General features: G+C 40.5%; 1 long non-coding RNA gene and 1 pseudogene across 1 annotated transcript in view, besides 1 other annotated feature; one reads left to right on the top strand and one right to left on the bottom strand.

The window, feature by feature from the left end:
- The window catches only part of LOC101928466 (uncharacterized), a 32,145-nt gene that overhangs the window by 11,382 nt on the left and 1,893 nt on the right, over nt 1–18,870 (top strand). The window lies entirely within an intron of this gene.
- On the bottom strand, nt 354–11,495 carry TCAF1P1 (TRPM8 channel associated factor 1 pseudogene 1; annotated as a pseudogene).
- Nucleotides 6,088–6,587: an enhancer, noted in NCBI's record as "H3K4me1 hESC enhancer chr7:143300039-143300538 (GRCh37/hg19 assembly coordinates)". NCBI's record gives its function as "activates a minimal SCP1, AML or CMV promoter by ChIP-STARR-seq in naive H9 embryonic stem cells {active_cell/tissue: H9 hESC(naive)}" and the evidence as "EXISTENCE:reporter gene assay evidence [ECO:0000049][PMID:30033119]".

Below are 18,870 nucleotides of genomic sequence, written 5' to 3'. Positions count from 1 at the left end.
CCACTGTTTTATGGATCCCATTTCTTCTTCTTTCCTGGTTTTCATCCTCATTTTGCTGGAGAATTTCCTCAAGATACTTCCTCAGTAAGGGTGCAAAGGAGGGAGACTTTCTGAAAATTTGCCTGACAGAAAATGTCTTCACTTTGATGTTCTTCTTGACAGTCTGCCTTACTATGAAATTCTAGGTACAAAAATTTTCCATAAGCTCTGAAGATGTTGATCCATTGACTTCTGGCATTCAGTGTTGCTGATGACAAATCTGTTAGCAGTCTATTTCTCATCCATTTTTGTGTTGAGCTAATCGTGATGACCTCATTTGTTTTCTCCCTGGCCACTTTAATATCTTCCTTCTATCCTTAATATTCCAAAATTTTACAATATTGTGTCTAGATGTAGATTGTATTGGGCCCTCTCAATCTGGAGACTTAGCTTGCTCTGTTCTTCAATTCTTTTTCTTTTTATTTCTTCACCTACACTGTCTCTGTTCTCTCTTCCAGGAACTCCTAACATTACATATTGATTGTCTATGTCTTTTTTCTTTCTTTATATTTTTCTATCTATTTCTTTTTGCTCTTTATCTGGAGAGATTCCCTCAACTTTATTTTCCAGACTGTATACCAAATACTTTTAGCAGTCTTATTTTATTTTCAAAGAGATCTTCTTATTCTCAGTCTTCTCTTTCTTTTCTTGCTTTTTAAGAGACAGGGTCTCACTCTGTCCCCCAGGCTGGAGTGCAGTGGCACCATCATGGCCCACTGAAGCCTTGAACTCCTGGGCTCAAGTGATCTTCCCACTTCAGCCTCCCAAGTAGCTAGGACCACAGGCACATGCCACCATGCTTGGCTAATTTTTAAAAATTATTTTGTAGAGACGGGATGTTGCCATCTTGCCTAGGCTGGTCTCGAACTCCTGAGTTTTCCGTTTCTTTGTAGTATCCTGTTTTTCATCTTAAATACACCTCAAATCTCTCTGGAGATGGAATTAAAATTAAGTTATTCTTTCCACATTGTCTTTGTTTCCCTCAGAGTTTGTCATATTTTCAAGGCCCCTAATTCTACCTCGTGACTTTTCTTATTCCTCTTCCCTCCCCATCGCCCATGTCTGGGAATTTCTAACTCACCATTCCCATTTAAGAATCAACATAACTGTTAACTTGTATAACAGTTGGCATGGGTTTCCTCTGCTGTTGTACAGTTAGGTCTGTTTCTTCAGGAAACCTCTTCTATACCTGAAGGCAACAGGCACTTGAGTAGGAGGTCTCAGCTGTCAGTAGAGAATTAGCTGACCGGCTGGGGGTAGGGGCACTTATTTCCACTAGAAGAGAAATTTTTTTCTGGAGCACCAACTCTTATCTCTCTGCAAGCAGCCTGTTCAATTCCTTTATACAAACAACAACAGCAACAATAACAAGAAATTTTTAACTGGTATCAATAGTGGAGACTGCCTGTGTTCTGTGCATAAGAGTTGGGGGAGAGTAGGAGAGGGCTCAATCTTACAACTGGAGTAATTCTTCAGTAGACAAGCTTTTCAGGTGCGCAAGTCTCTTTGGGGTTATGTTGTTCAGATCAGCTTACATTTTATCTGAAAGGTTCTTCACTCTTTCATTATCATGCTTCATCCACTTTCTATCTTCCAGAAATATGCTGAGATCCTCTCCACTTATAACCAAATCCCTTCAGTTTTCTTTGCTGAGATGTGTCAGTTCCTTTTTGCATTTCTTGACTTCAATTTCAGTGGGGCCTGGGGAGGGAGGGAAGGTAAACTTATGTTTACTCCATTATCTCAAATTAGAAATTCCAGTGGAGGCTTTTAGACACGGAAGTAACATGGATAACTTTATATTTTAAATATATCCCCGGGATGTACTGCTAAAAATATATTAAAGAGGGCAAGGATGGATACACATATTCTCAAAGATGGAGGATCTAATTTCCTCTCTGAGAACATGCAGTGTTTGGGATCTCTGGGAGTCAGGCACTTCACTGAAATAGTCCATCATTCAAAATCCAACAAACTAGAGAACACTTTCATGGTACCCTAGAAAGAATAACTGAAATTTGAGTAATGCAGAACCTAAAAGATCTGGCTGATGCTAAAGGGCTCACTCCAGCACTATCTATTGGGAAGCACTTCAGGAGCCTACCTTAAATTCTTTGAATTGTCATTTGGGATAAACAAAATGATTTTTTGTTCTGATAAAAGTAGATGATAGGTAAGTATATGCAGCCAAAGCTCTGGCAAGTAGGAACATAATGATCCTTTGGTTTGCTGGTCGGCTTCTTTATTTACCCATTGATGGGGTCATTCAAAGCACTGTAGTTATGAATGCCCATTCTGTAATCAGAATGCCTGAATTCAAATCCCAGATCAACCACTTATTAGCAATATAGCCTTAGATAATTTACCTTATCTTCCTTAACTTCAGTTCTCTCGTTCATAAAATAAAATGGGAGTGATAATGGTTGCCATGTCATGAGATTATTGTGAAGATTAAATGAAACAATCTATAGAAAGGAATCACTACAATAACTGGTACACACCCAATAATTGATAACAATTATTTTAAATGTTGAACAAATATCCAATGTCTCATGTTTAAAGCACCTAGGCAATGGATATTTGTGCAATCAGGAGAAATAATCCTAGGACCGACAAATAACATGACAAAGAAATCTACTGGGAGGCCGAGGTGGGTGGATCACCTAGGCCAGGAGTTCGAGACCAGCCTGGCCAACATGGCAAAACCCCATCTCTACTAAAAATACAAAAAATTAGCTGGGTGTGGTGGTGGGCACCTGTAAGCCCAGCTACTTGTGATGCTGAGGCAGGAGAATCGCTTGAACCTGGGAGGTAGAGGGTGCAATGAGCCGAGACGGTGCCATTGCACTCCAGCCTGGGTGACAAGACTGATACGCTATCTCAAACAAACAAACAAAAATCCAAAGAAAAAACTCTATAGGTCAAATCTTACAGTCTACATATCTACCCAATTACCAATTAAGCAAATAAAATGATATATTAAAATAACTAAAATAAAAAGTGAGCTAAAGAAAAACTGGCTGGATGTATATGACATCAACCAAAAGGACCCAACTTTAGTTAAAACTGTAAAGAAATAGGGGATTCTGAATAAAATTAAAAAGAAATAAGTTTGGGTCAACTCTATCCAATCATCTTGTTTCAGAGTAAAGTCCTCTATGTGTGTGGACTTCGTCTGCCAAACTGTTGAGTAACTCTTGACAGGCACTATGTCTTGAATCTGTGTTACAGAAATAAAAACACTGTCATGAAACCAGATACCCTCTGTTTGCTAAGGACAAATGTCATTATGGAATTGATCTGGTTTCTTCAAGACATCTACTCTTGATTTAATCAAAGAAGGAATTGGATCTGTAAAATACAATTGGATAAGGAGATCCAAGGAAGAGCTCCAAATTCACAATGAGGTTCTTATAAATAGCTTTACAAATCTAAGTTAAAAAGAAACAAAATTTTTTAGCTATTTAAAAAAACCCATTGTGAATTTAGAGTTCTTCCTTTAGATTCATAAGGCAACATAGCAGAATCCTTTCAGAAGTTGCTGTATAAAGTGCAAGATGGGCTAGGATTAACTACAACTGCCTCTGTAAATGTCATCTAAAAATAAAGTCTAGCTCATAAAGAGTATTGAGTCAATTAGATAATAATAATGGCAGCAGACATTTTCTCAACACCTACTACCTGCCAGGGACGGTTCTCATTGCTTTTTAAAGGTATTATAAAATGTAATCCTCACAATGATCCTATGAGATAGATCCTATTTTATAGATGAGAAAACTAAATCACAGAGAAGTTAAGGAAATTGCCAGGGTTATACAACTCGTAGGTGAAAGAACCAGGATTTGAACACAGGGAAGCTACTTGTAGAGAGAGTTATCCTAACCTCTAAATTCTGGAGACAGGATGGAAAGTAGTAAGCTCATTATCCTGTGGACCAGCATAAAATAGAAAATCCCCTTAGATGACATGCTCTGCAGACCTCACAAGCCTCTTCAGAATTTATCACTCTGAACCTCCACGACAACCCTGTGAACTGGGAATTTTTATCCCCATTTTACACACAGGAAATGAGAGTACCAAGTTGAAATGACTTTCCCGAGAGCTAACCCTACCTAGTTCTGGGCTCTTCCCACTATACCAGAATGCTTGTCTACTTTGAAAACTACTCAAGTCACAAAATATATGAGTCCATCCAAGAGCTATCTGGGTCTCACGGTAAATTTGTGTTCCAGTTGAGTTTTATGGTCAAGTTTTTGGAACAACTGTTCAAAAACAAAAGCCCAAAGGGAGTCTTCAGGATGCCAACATGAGAACTACCCCCTCTGGGCTATGACCTATGATGGTGAATCCAGGGCTGATATAGAAGCAGGTGCCAAAGCTCTTGGAACTGGGCCAGTGCAGGGTCAGGAGGGAATGTGACAGCTGAAAGCAGACGAACAAGATGCAGAAACAGAAGCCCTTGCACCTGAGAAATTCTGATTCCACTTTTGGCTGTGTTCTGAACCCACTTCCTAGAGACAGAAGTCGGTAATAAGGTATAGGGCAATGAACTAAGAGGACAAGGCCAGACCCTGGGAGGCAGAGGTAGAGGAGTGAATCCCCACCTCTGCCTACCTCCCCAAACCTCTCTACCTGCCACCTCGATGGGCACTCCTTACATCTGTGTGAGGAGGTACAATTTCATAATATTTTCCTTCCATTCAGGCAGATAGGCCAGGCTGGTAGCCACTTCCTTCTGGATGGGCCAGGCCCAGGCCTCAAAGAACGGAGCCAGGTTCTTCTGCACTTGGTGGGAGAACATCTTGACCCACAGATTCATTTTGTCAACATTTTCTGTGGGCAAGTTGGTCTGGTTCCTGTACTCGGTGAAGAGACGGATGAATGGCTCCCAACCAAAGGCTTCCTGGAGCTGGGAAGAGAAAGAAAAATACAGATCAGATTTGGAAATAAAAAAGGGTCCAACAACAACCACTATAATAAGTGAACTTAGTATATGTAACCCCTTACCCATCGGCTTCACGTCTATCACCGACCTGCTCTCCTCCATTTTGCCTCCTGGCCTCATGCCCTGCTCTTCCACATTCTAATCTTAGGAAGGGCCTTGGGACCAGCACAGTGTTCAACACCAAGTGGATACTAAATCAGTGAGGGCCATGGTAACAACTGCAATGATTAATATCAATATTTTCTACCAGTATCATTACCCACGTATCCCACTAGATCACGCAAATAGAGATAGGATATTACACAAGGATTTAAAATTGGCAGAATTGGAAAAATCCTCTTCTCAAGAGTTGAAAAGTGAAACCTCAACAATAGGGAAACTTCCACCTCATCCTGGCACAAAGAAATCCTCATTAATCATAGATCTTTGTCAATGTGCAAGGGTATTAAAATGGCTTTTGGGGAAAAAAAGTGAGTTGGATAGAAGTAGAAGACTGCAGATTGTCTGGGTAACTAGAATTAAGAATAAGTTGTAATTTTTGAAAAAGGCAGCCATCTTGAGGCTGTTGAGTTACAGAGCTTGAATTATGAGGCACTTGAGCAGTTCCCCAGACCAACTTCACATTTATTTCACCAATGAGAAACTTGGTGTTCCTGGGGCAAAGCAGCCATAACAAGGTTAAAGTGGAGCCTCCTTGGTTTTCCCATAATTCTCACGGCAGTGGGAATGAATAAGAGAGCCTCCAGCAGGTGGAAGAACCAGAATAGAGCATGCTTGGCCTGAGACTGAGTTCTGAAATTCAAGGTGATGAAACTCTCCAGTTTCATGCCAGGAACTGATCCAGGCATTGCAGGGAGGGAACTAGGCATTAAACAACTGGTCAAAGGCAAGGCCACCTCCTTGTCCAGGTCAGTGAGGACTCTTGGATTGCCTACATAATGGGGGCTCTGAGGCACGGCCAAGGCATAGTGAGAAGATGGTACATTCATCTAAGGAAAAAAAAAATAAGTCATATCCTATGGATTATGTGTATGGTTGGGGGGAACTGGTTTTAGATAGCTATTAAGTAGGAGAGTTTGGCTTCAGTCTCAGGTATGTCTGGCTTTAAAGCCAGAGAGAGTGAATATATGTATAGTACTTTATTTGTCTCTACCATTTTTAACCTTTCTCAGTGCTTTCTATTTACTATCATATATCTCTATGGGGTGGAAGGTGAGGCTCAGGCAATGAAATCCACCTGAGGGTCATGCAAGGCGATGCACTAAGAGACATCATCAATACGACTGTCACAGTTGGACTTTGTCAGGGCCTCCCATATCCCAGTGTGGGAGACAGGGGCCATGGGTGGTCTTCTGGGCCACTAGAACATTATCCGATAGTTGCCCTGATGGTCCCCGCAGTAGGGGTCCCCCATCACCCGCCATTCTTGCCCAGTACCTGTAAATACGTTTCCAGTGCGGTCCATGCATTCCAGTTTTTCACATTGGGACCCTTGCTCAGGTAGATTCTGACTCTCTTCTCCCGAACTGGGGGCCACAGAGCAATATTGGCACGGCTTCGAGGAATGCCCAAGACCGTCTCATGCACATACACACACCACAGGTTGCAGGTGGCCTCGGTGGTGTGTGGTGGGAACTCCCACTCCTGCCGCTGCTGGTTGCGGCCCAGCTCATGGACGGGGCCCCACAGCCCCTTGGTTCTGATGAGCTTCTCGTTGATGAGCTCCTGCACTGACTCCAGATGGCACATGATGGGGTACCCTGCATGCATCCAGCCTGGAAAATGCAGAAGGAGGGAAGACAGAGTTAGGGTCCTCCCCATTTAAGTCGTAATATTCTTCTATGTTTTGTGTGTGTTCCAAAACACTCAGTAACCCCAGCCAAATTCCAGCACACCATAATACTCAGAAAAGCAACCCAAACCAAGACCCTGCTAGGTGTTCCTTCTCCTCTTTTCATTCTGGAAGAATTCCTTCATCTCTACTCTGACCCAGAATAGTGTGGCTATGGAAGGAGATGCAGCTTATATATAAGGAGCTGTTCATGTTACCATTCAATTTTTCTATTTTGATGAGGATGCCTTATCCATGTGAATCTGTGTCACTATAACCTTTTCTCAAAATTCAGAGCTCTTTAAGGGTAGCTCCTCTCTCATTGTTCAGATATGGAGTTGCCATATCAACACAAGTTTACAGTGAACATCCGTATAAGAAAGAAAATGAGGGTCCAGAGAAATTCCCATGGTTCTTTAATGTCTGTATATTTCCCTCACTTTTCATGTTCCTTGACCATAGGCAAAGATCGCTTTATTCAGTGTGTTCTTAAAGTTGTAAAATTCCCTTTTCCAACCCAACAACTCTGACCTAGGTCACGGCCCTCTGCCATCTTTACCGGCTTGAAGTCCCTGATGAATACCTGTGAAAGCTCAGGTGGCATTTCTTGATGTCCTTGACATGCTGACCTAAACTGTTTTATATACACATATACATATATACATATATATAATGTAATATATATTATATAATATATATTATATAATATATATTATATATTATATATATAATATATAATATATATTATATATATAATATATATTATATATTATATATATGTATATATGTATATGTGTATATAAAACAGTATATATATAAAACAGTATATATATATATGTATATATATGTATGTATATAAAACAGTATGTATATAAAACAGTATATTATATATATAATATATAATATATATTATATATATAATATATAATATATATTATATATATTTCCTTCCCATTTAAATAACAAGGATACATCTATATGTCTTGCTAGCAAAATATGTTTCCCCTACTGGCTGCCCACTGCATGGCTGATGAAAGACAGGAAGGCGCTCAGAGGCAGCATGCACAGAGGGTTTGCTTGGAGCACCCACCCACTGAGATCTGCACGTCGGCAACAATCCTCTGAGGCAGGCGCAAAGGGAAGGGCTCAGCTCCCAGTCGCGCCACAGCCTGCATCACCTCATCCCAGAGGCGGAGCAGCGGCTCAGGGTTCTCCAGAGTACGAAGATTTGCGGTCGGCACGGTCAGAATGATGTTGTCCGTGGCCAGCTCTCCCCAGGGCCCTGGATTCTCCTGGATACGCCTCTTCCACTCCTCCAGGGTGGTCTCCCCTAGGAAGAGAGACCATGGAGCTTGAAATCCTTTCCCAAATCCCTTAAATTACAACATACAACTTAGACTCCAGGAAGAGAACAACAAAATCATGAACTGCCATATCCCTCCTCTTTTTTAAAAAATGTAAAGTTCCGGGATACATGTGCAGGACGTGCAGGTTTGTTCCATAGGTAAACATGTGTGATGGTGGTTTGCTGCACCCATCAACCCATCACCTAGATATTAAGCCCAGCATGCATTAGCTATTTATCCTGATGGTCTCCCTCCATCCACCCCCGCTACCCACCCCACTGACAGGCCCCAATGTGTGTTGTTCCCCTCCCTGTGTCCATGTGTTCTTATTGTTCAGCTCCCACTTACAAGTGAGAACACGTGGTGTTTGGTTTTCTGTTCCTGTGTTAGTTTGCTGAGGCTATATCCCTTTTCTCTATCCTTCTATGAAGTCTCCAAGGATGTGGTTTGGTCTTTATCTGTACAACCCCAAAGCTGAATCTAAGGAAGCTGACCCTTATTCCTCTGTTAGCCCGTGTCTCTCTCCTTCTGCACCAAACAGACTCTAGTCACCTCCTGGACTCCCATGCTCTCTGGAATCCTCATCTCAGTTCTTCCCCTTCCCTCAGGGGCACCCAGAGCTCCCACTCACCCAGCTTGTAGTATGGAGCATGCACAGCCCCCTTCACGGTGACAGGCACAGAACCCAGTTTGCTGTTCTGAGGCACAATTATATAGAGGAGTCCACCCCAGAGGCACGTGATCGATTTTGTGGGTTTGTCCAAGCAGCACCGGTTAATTACGAGTGGGCCTCGGAAAAGCTTGCTGGCCCTGGTCAGGTCATCTGTGTGGCAGCCAATCTGTATCTGGAGCAGAAAGATCCCCCCCTCAAGGAGTCACCATGGGGCACGAGTGGGTGGAAGAAGAGAGCCCAGCAAGGGACTCAGGATGGGTCATTCAGCCATGAACCCAAGCGAGCCCAGCCTTCCCACCACAGATGAACCATGTGTGATACCCCAAGAAACTGTAGCATTCCTTGGGGCATATGGACTGAAGTATATATAAATATTTTCCCAAAGCATTCAAACAGCTCCATAATGGGTCATGTTAGATAGACATTAATGTGAGAAGTGCCAGGTGTAACCTGTAAGGCCAATTCTGAGGAGGGCTGACTCCCACACCCGGTCTCCTGGTGTTGCTAACAAATAGAACACTTGATCGCCTATCTCATGGTGGTGATTCTGGCATTTGGAATGGGGCAGAGGGAACCCTGCCTTTTGCTGATCAGAGAGAGGGCCCAGTGGGAGGTGGTGTGATCTGGCTAAGATAGTGGAGGGTTTCTCCAAGCCCTCTTCCTGGGCAGGTACTTGGTAGAGTCCTAGGATTCTTTTCCCTGGGTTTATGCTAATCAAGTTCCAGGATAGGTACAGGCACAGAATAGATGCTAACCATCACAGTGACCCCCAAGGGGGATAGGGAAGGACAGCAAACTAACTTTGCAAATGGGTTCTATGTGAAAGTGACAGAGGGAAGGTGAACTGGGCAATTGAGGAATGGTCTTGGATGTCATGGGGAAGAAGCTGAAGTCAGAAAGACCTTGTGCTACCATGGGAATGGATACGGAGATGAACAGTGAACTCCGATTTACTGAATGCCTACTCTGTGCTAGGTTACCTTCCATTTGATACCTCTTATTCCCTACTCTAGGATGTAGGTCAAAAGCACAAAACTTAAGAGCCAGAAATTAGTTAGGTTTGAGTCCTGGGCACTTATTTGTATTAGCTCTATACATTTCAATCGATCAATCAATCAATCAGCTTTTCTGCACCTTAGTTACTTCATCCTTAAAACAAGGGTAAAATCACCTGCTCTGTATTACCAACAGGGCTTTGTGAGAATCAAATAAGATACTGACTGTGCTAGGAAGAGCCTTTGGCTTCCATGTTACATGGTGAGGTGGGGCATGGCCTTACCTTCAGGTCGGCAGAGGCAGCAGCTTCAGGCAGTGAGACTTCTATAATTTGCCTTCCAGGTATGTAGAGCCCAGTACTCATCCAGCAATATCTGGTGCCTGCCAAAAGCAGGAGGGGTAGGCAGACTTTATCCCTCCTCCATGATGCCACCTCCACCCAGCATCACCAGAGACCCTTCGTAAGCACGTATCTTCCCCTACATGCTGCCTTGACTCAACTCTTCCAAACAGTACTTAAAATCCCAACCCTTATCTTCTTCAAAGTTCATGGTAAAAAATGGAGACCACCTTCTGGACATGATCGGGTCCCTGAAATGGACTGCTGATGTCAGCCTGTCCCCATTCCCCCATTCCCATAATACTGAGCTTCCAACCCTTGTTCCTTACCTGGATTGGTGCAGTTGACCTCGACGGTGATAGGAGATTCTGAGGGGCGCAGATAGGGGCTGCTGTACATATCTTCAATTTCTGGGACTAACAGAGAGAGGTCGCTTCCAGAGTGGGCCAGCCCTGTGGCCAGGGAAAGCATAGCACCTCTGCAGCAGTCATTGATAACAGGGTTCTCTCGGGTTGCTACTGGAAGCCGATATCGACTTAGCAGCTTCCTCAGGAGTCGATGCACAGACATGTAGGCAGGGATCTCTTCTGCGGGAATCTGCAGGAAAGCTGCACCATCTGGTCCCAGCTTTGCCAACCAGCCCTTTTCCACATTTCCTCTCTTCCTGCCCATTATAACCTGGAACTCGGCCAAGGTGGAGCGGAAGTGATAGGTCCTTATCCCTGCTTTAGGAGTACGAAAGGGCCCTGGATTGAGGCTTTGGCTTGTAATGCTGATGCCAAAGGGGTTGAGGAGGAGGTTTCCTGGGAATCGAGCCAAAGGGGACACTCCGGGGTTCTTGAAGGCCCACCACCAGGCTTGGGCTCCAACAAATAGCCCGCCACCCTCTGCTACAAACTCCTGCAGTTCCTTGACCCCCACTTCACTCACGGGTTCAAAGCAGTAGACACTTGCATCACTGGTCAGATTGGGCTCGATGCTGGTGTCTATGCCCCCCACTGCGAGGAGGCCACTCAGGGTTCTCAGCTCTGTCTGCACCACAATCTTGCCTCTGCGGCCCCCATCCAGCCAGCGGACAGCATTGAGCAGAAAGGGGCCCAGTTTACCAACAGTGAATAATACCTTATGGCCAGTCACAACCACCCGGCCCCGGCCATAGCGGGCAGCCGCTATAACACAGCCATGGTAGGAATCTAACCCTAGAGGAAAGGCTAAAGCCCCATGCACTAGCAGCTGGGATGGGAAACAATCCGAGTTGCTGATGTCCAGCTCTGAAATCCCATGCAGAAGCTCTTCTCTGTCGTCGGAGAGGTCATCTTCACAACTGCAAAAGACACATGCATTCTTTATTAGAGGTACAGTTCTATATAAAGCTGTTAGAACAGTGGATGGCATACAGTGAGCGCTATAGATGTGTTAGCTTTGCTAATATTGTTATTTTTAGTTCTTAGGGGAAAGTTGGGAGAACAAAATGGACAGCTCTGACCTCACTGGGTATGGAGACTTGTTGGAGGGGTGGCAGAGGGACTCAGCATTAATTCTGCTCTGCTCATTCTTAGAGCACAAATTCTCCAATGGAAATTGCAAAGGGAGCCCTGCTGTGTTTATCCAGTACCATGTCTTAAATACTCCAGATTTTAGTTCATGGTTATTTCAACCCTCTAAACAATACATATAAAAAAATGGGAAATCATGTTTTTTTTTCCTTATAAGGAGTCTTATTTATAAATTGCAGGAAATTGCAGCTAATTTCCTACAAATAAAGTCTGTGGAAGGACAAGTCAGTAGTGCTAGTGAAGAATCATTATTATCTCAAAAGGTGGGGTAGGGGAACTGACTGGCCTCAACTCTAGTGAGACCCTCTGGTTACCTGAGCCCAAGAGGACTTTACTGTCTGCATCTAGAACTCCACTTTTTCACTGCCTGCCCAACAGGAGTGATGCACATCCATGCTGTAAGGTTTTGCTCAGCACCATCTGTTTACTGTCTGTGGGTAATCCAGCCCTAGAAGCCCTCAAGATGCCCATAAATCCAAAATGAGATGGAACACTGGATAAGGTGGAGTTAAGGAATAGAGTGGCCTCTCTGAGCTTGAGATTCCAGAGTTGGTTCTGTCACTTTTGTTAGGTAAAGTATAGTAGGATGCAGCTACTATAGTATAGTAGGATGCAGCTGTAAGATAACACCAAAAAATGGGGGTCAGGTAGACAACAAATTTGCAGTGTTCGTGCTGTACTCTCTATGGCTGGCAGAGCTCTACTGATGGGAAAGCTATGGTCCTCTTAGCAAGTATGAACCTTTACTAAAGATAAAGCTACCACCATACTAATTGGTGGATGACTCTCTAACTCGGTAAAGAACTATCATTAACATCATTCAACTATCTCTTCTTGCTCTGATTCGAGGCTTACCAAACAACTCTGTGATTGTAATACTGCTTTCCATGATCACCTGCCTAATGAGAGAAAGAAGTCACTGGCTAGGCCAACCAGAATATTCTAGATTTGTAACATTTATTTATTTTATTCAAGCAACATTTTGGATAGTCTGTATTTAATTTGGTGACTCTTAAAATTTTTTAAAATTCATTTTCAGTTGTAGTCCTTTAAACATGTATACAAAATTTAATGAAAAATGTGTTTTAGTTCTTATAATTAGAGTTCTGTTTATAATTTTTTTCTCTTTTATTTTTGATTTTTTAATTTAATGGAGAAGGGGGGGGGTCTCACTATGTTGCTCAGGTTGGTCTTGAACTCCTGGGCTCAAGCAATCCTCCTGCCTCGGCCTCCCAAAGTGCTGGGATTATAGGCCATGGCACCTGGCCTTGTTTACGAAGTTCATGCAATTATTTTTTTTTAAGAGTAAAATCAGTGAAGAGGTGGGCTACTGTGCTCTAAGTGAATACATCAGCTTCAGGATTTCTACATGAGCCTACTGATGAGAGAAATTAAACCTACAAAGCTGAGATTCAGACACTGAGTTATTAGAACTTCATCTGAACAATGAGACTACATGAGGTCTTGCTCAGTGCTTAGCCAGGGGGCACCCTCGGAGGCATCTGTCTATTAGTTCCAACAGCCACGATTTATATACAGTAGGGGCTAAGTAATTCTTTCATGTGTTGAAAAAATGAGTTGGATTTTACTTCTCTTCCTTACCCTCTTCTGAAGTGAAACAAAAGTTACTTAAAAAAATAAATCCTGGTGAAACCCTGTCTCTACAAAAATACAAAAATTAGCGGGGCATGATGGCGGGTGCCTATAATCCCAGCTATTCAGGAGGCTGAGGCAGGAGAATTGCTTGAACCTGGGAGGCAGAGGTTGCAGTGAGCTGAGATCATGCCAATGCACTCTAGCCTGGGCGACAGAGTGAAACTCAGTAAATCCATAATAGCATTGGATTTTGAGAAGGGTGCCATCAACAAACTGAGATAGTGGGGACATTTATAAAAAATATAAATCAAATGGTATCTGATTGATTGGAAAGCCATGAGAACAGAAGAATCTAACTGCGTACATGTGAAAGAGAAGATCAGGGGAACAAAGGACCAAAGATTATCATTTGTCCCAAGAAAATGCTCTGCAGTAACCAATAATGATCAACCTAGGATTTAAATGTAATTTAAAATTTAAATAGACAAGAACCACCAAATATCTGACGAAAATTAACAGCATGAAAGAGAAGCACCCAACTAAACTCCCAAGGGAACAATAGCAACAAATGGAGAAGAACGTTCTAAGTAGGTATTGCATATCATCAGAAAGTTCTAAGAAGATATATTACCTCTCTCGTGAAAAAATGGGACAGGCTACTCTAAAAGATTATTGATTAGGCTGGGCGTGGTGGCTCACGCCTGTAATCCCAGCACTTTGGGAGGCCAAGGTGGGCGGATCACGAGGTCAGGAGATCGAGACCATCCTGGCTGACACTGTGAAACCCCATCTACTAAAAATACAAAAAATTAGCCAGGCGTGGTGGTGGGCGCCTGTAGTCCCAGCTACTCGGGAGGCTGAGGCAGCAGAATGGCATGAACCTGGGAGGTGGAGCTGGCAGTGAGCTGAGACTGTCCCACACACAACCGCAGGCAACTACTGATGTGCTTTCTATCCATAAACATTTGTCTTTTCTAAAGCTTCATATAATGTAATCATAAAGTATGTACTCCTTTGAGCTTGGCTTCTTTCACTCAGAATAACTTTGTGAGAACCATCCATACTGTGGCATCTATCCGTAATGCATCGTCTTCTACAGCTGTGTATTATGCCATTCTGGAGATAGGCTACACTTTGTTTATCCTGTCATCTGTTGATGGACATTTGGGTAGTCTTTGGTTTGGGCTTGCTGCCCTAAACATTAATGTACAAGTTTTTGTGTGGACATGTTTTCCTTTCTCTTGGATAAAGGGTGATGAAATGGCAAAATTGTATGTTAATTGTCAGTTAACTTTATAAGAAATTGCCAAACCGTCTTCCAAAGTGGTTGTGTCATTTTATATTCCCACTGGCAATGTATAAAACCACATTCTTGTCAGCAATTCATATAGCGAGTCTTTAATTTTAGCCATTTTTATGGGGCCATAGGGCATTTCATTGTGATTTTAGTTTTTTGCATTTCTCTGATGACTAATGATAGTGAGAATCATTTGGGCTTTTTGGCCTTTTATATTTTATCTTTTGTGAAGTGTGTTAAACTATTTTGGCTTAAAAAAAAAAAACTTGCAGGGTGTGGTATCTCATGCCTATAATCCCAGCACTTCGGGAGGCCAAGGCAGGACTGCTTGAGCCCAGGAGTCTGAGAACAGCCTGGGCAACATGGCAAGACTCCATCTCTACAAAAAATTTTAAAAATGGCCAGGTGTGGTGGCGTGCACCTGTAGTCCTGGCTACTCAGGAGGCTGAGGAGGAAGGATTGCTTGAGTGCCATGTTCGTGCCACTGTACTTCAGCCTGAGACAGAAAGGGAGACCCTGTCTCAAAAAACAAAACAAAAACAAAGAAACATAGGTGGTCTTATTATTGGAATATAAGAGTTCTCCATGTATTCTGAATGCAAGTCCATTGTCAGATATAAGTATTGCAAATATTTTTTTTTCCAGTCTATGGCTTGCCTTTTTGTTTCCTTAATACTGTCTATTGAACTGCAGAGCTATTTACTTTTTAAAAATAAAGCTCAATTTATTAATCTTTTCCTTTTATGGTTCATGTACTTTTTGTGTCCTATGTAGGCAAAAATTGCAAAGGTCAAGGTCACAGATATTTTCTCCTATGCTTTCATTTAGAAGTTTTTAAAATTTAGCTTTTGCATTTAGGTCTAGATCTATTTTTAAATATTTGCTTTTATGGAGTAGGGTGAGGGTCACAATTCACCTTTTTTCCATAAGGGTATCCAGTTGTTCCAGAACCATATGTTGGAAAGACTGTAATTTCCTCATAGAATTACCTGAGCAACTCTGTCAAAAAACAATTTACCATAAATTTGTGGGTCTATCTCTAAACTATCTGGTCTGTTTCATTGATCTGCATGTCTATCTTTATGCCAATATCAAAGTGTTTTGACTACTTCATTTCTGTAAAAAGTCTTAAAACTAGCCTATGTTAGTTCCATTTCATTTGTATATTTTTAGAATCGGTTTGAACTATGGACTGCATTAAATCTGTAGGTTAATGGGGAAACTGACATCTTAAAATATCAAGTGTTCTGATCCATCAACATGGTATATTTCTCCATTTCTTTAGGTTTTATTTAATTTCTCTCAGAGATGTTTTGTAGTTTTCACCATACAGGTCTCATGACATATTTTGTTAAATTTAACACTTACTACTTCATAATTTGGGTTCTATTTTAAATGTTGTATTTTAAAATTGTAATTACCAATTGCTGGTTGCTAATATATTAAAAAAGTAATTGGTTTTTGTAAATTGAATTTTGTATCTTACAACCTTGTTAAAATTAATTATTATAGCTTTACTGTAGATATTTTAGGATTTTTTTTTACATAGATGATCATGCTTTTTGCAAATACTTCTAAAAATAAAATAATTCCATTCTAGGAAATGCTCTAACTTTATGTTTAAATGGATCTTGTCATTTAAAAATCTTCTAAATGTGTAAAATACTTTTTTCTTTTAAATTTGTTTTCCAACACCAAGATTCAAACATTTCCTGTCTTTTGGCTCAGTGTTCTAGAAAAACAAAACACATATATATATATTTTTTTAAATTTCCAATCTCTATGCCTTATTTTCCTTGCCTTATTACACTGGGTAGGACCTGTAGCACAATGTTGAATAGAAGAGGTGAGAGCAGGTATTATTCCTTGTCATGTTCTCAGTCTTAGGGGAAAATGTTCAGTATTCACCTTTAAGAATATTTTTAACTATATATTTTTCGTAGACATTTTTATCAGGTTGAAGCAGTTCCTTTTTATTTCTCATTTGCTGAAATTTTATCATAATTTGGTATGATTTGGTATTGAATTTGGTCAATATTTTGTATGTGTATTATTGAATTATATGGTTTTTATTTTTCTTTTGGTTTTTTTTTTTTTTTTTTTGAGACAGTCTCACTCTGTTGCCCAGGCTGAGTACAGAGGCACGGTCTCAGCTCACTGCAACCTCTGCCTCCCAGGTTCAAATGATTCTCATGCCTCAGCCTCCCCAGTAGCTCGGACTACAGGCACACAACACCATGCCCAGCTAACTTTTGTATTTTAATAGAGATAGCATTTCACTATGGTGGTCAGGCTGGTCTCAAATCAAACTCCTGATCTCAAATGATCCACTCACCTTGGCCTCCCAAAGTGCTGGGATCACAGGCATGAGCCACCATGCCCAGCCTTGAATTACATGGTTTTTCTCATTCATTCTATTAATATGGTGAGTTAATCTGATTACTGAATGTTAGACCAGTCATTCATCCTAGGATAGCCTTACTTGGTCATGAAGTATTCTTCTTTTTATATATTTCCGTATTCTATTAATATTTTATTAATAATTTTTCATCTATATTCATGAAGGATATTGTTTTGTAGTTTTCTTACGATGTCCTTTTCTGGTTTCAGTATTAGAGAAATGCTGTTTTAATAAATCAAGTTGGAAAATCTTCCTTTTCTATTTTTAAAAAGAGTTTATGTAGGATTTGTATTATTTGTTCCTTGAATGTTTGATAAAATTCATCAATGAAGCTGTCTGGGCCTGGAATTTTCTTTGCGTTGTTGATTTTAAATACAATTTCTATTTTAAAATGTAAGAAAATCGAAAACTTGCAATATAGTAAAACATCCATTATACATTTGTCAAAACTAAGAAGTCAACAGTGATCAAACACTACTAACTAAACTCCAGATTTTATATAAATATCATCACTCTTCACACCAATGTCTTTTAGGATCCAATCCAGGATACCACATTGCATTTAGTGTTGGAATGTTTAAAATTACAATTCAATTTATTTAGCATATATTTCATGTTTCTTTTTGTATCCATTTTGGTAATTTTTGGCTGTCAGGAAATTTATCTATCTCATCTAAATTGTCAAATTTATTGGCATAAAGTTGTAATATTCCCTTACTATCCTTTTAATGTCTGTAGGATCTGTACTAATATTCCTTCTTCTATTCCTGAAATCCATAATTTGTGTTATCTCTCCTATTTTCATAGCTTATCTAGAGGTTAATCACTTTTAATGATTTTTTTTCAACTAATCAGCTTTTGGTTTTACTGTTTACTTTTTTTTTTAAAGTTGTTTCACAGATTTCTGCTCTATTATTTCCTCGTTTCTTCTACAGATTTTGGGTTTAATTCAATTTCCTTTTTTAGATTCTTAATATGGAAACATAGTTCACTGAGTTTCAAATTTTCTTCTTTCCTAATAAAAGTATTTAAAGGCATATCTTTCTTAGCACTGTTTTAATAGAATTGCACAATTTTTGACATGTTATGCTTTCATTTTTATTCAGTTCTAAATATATTCTAATTTCCTTTGTAATTTCTGCTTTGACTTAAGGAGTATTTAGAAACATTTTTAAATTTACAAATATTTAGGAATTTTTCAGATATGTTATTGAATTCTAATTTAATTCCACTGTGATGAGGACATATATGGTATGATTTCAATTCTTTTACTCTTGCTAAGGCTGATTTTATAGCACAGCAGATGGTCTATCTTCACGGTCTATCTTCATGACTATCTCATGTGCACATAAAAGAATGTGTATTCTGCTATTGTAGCCATGCTGTTAGCATTCATAAAATAAAATTAAATAAACAAATATGGAGAAAACCCCACATGGAATAAAAACAGGCCCAAATGTAAAAAGCAATTTGAATACTTTTGAATATAGTACTTGCTGGACTCTATATGCTCAGTGTGGTGTATTCAGAAGGCAAAAATAACTTATCAAGTTTGTTATTGGCAATAGTATGGGTATAGGAATCATGAAACTCGTTTGTGTGTATTATTGGACTGAGCAAATAGGTAAATGTTGAAGCTGTTGAAACCAGGATTCTCACTATGGCAGAAGAAAAATACTAATATGGAATGAGTGAAAGAGAAGAAGAATCCTGTGGTTTTGAAGTAAAATTGGGGGTATCAGTGTGAATGTATGATTAAAAGATATGGCTCTCTCAGAACCCAGAAATGATGACACCATAGCACTGAGCATGCTTTAGATCTTGGTTTCTAAATACCGTTCACCACTAAA

Source organism: Homo sapiens, chromosome 7, assembly GCF_000001405.40.
Source record: "Homo sapiens chromosome 7, GRCh38.p14 Primary Assembly".
NCBI classification, from domain to species: Eukaryota; Metazoa; Chordata; class Mammalia; order Primates; family Hominidae; genus Homo; species Homo sapiens.
The sequence above is the reverse complement of the archived record's forward strand: the minus strand, read 5'-3'. Positions and strand labels throughout refer to the sequence as shown.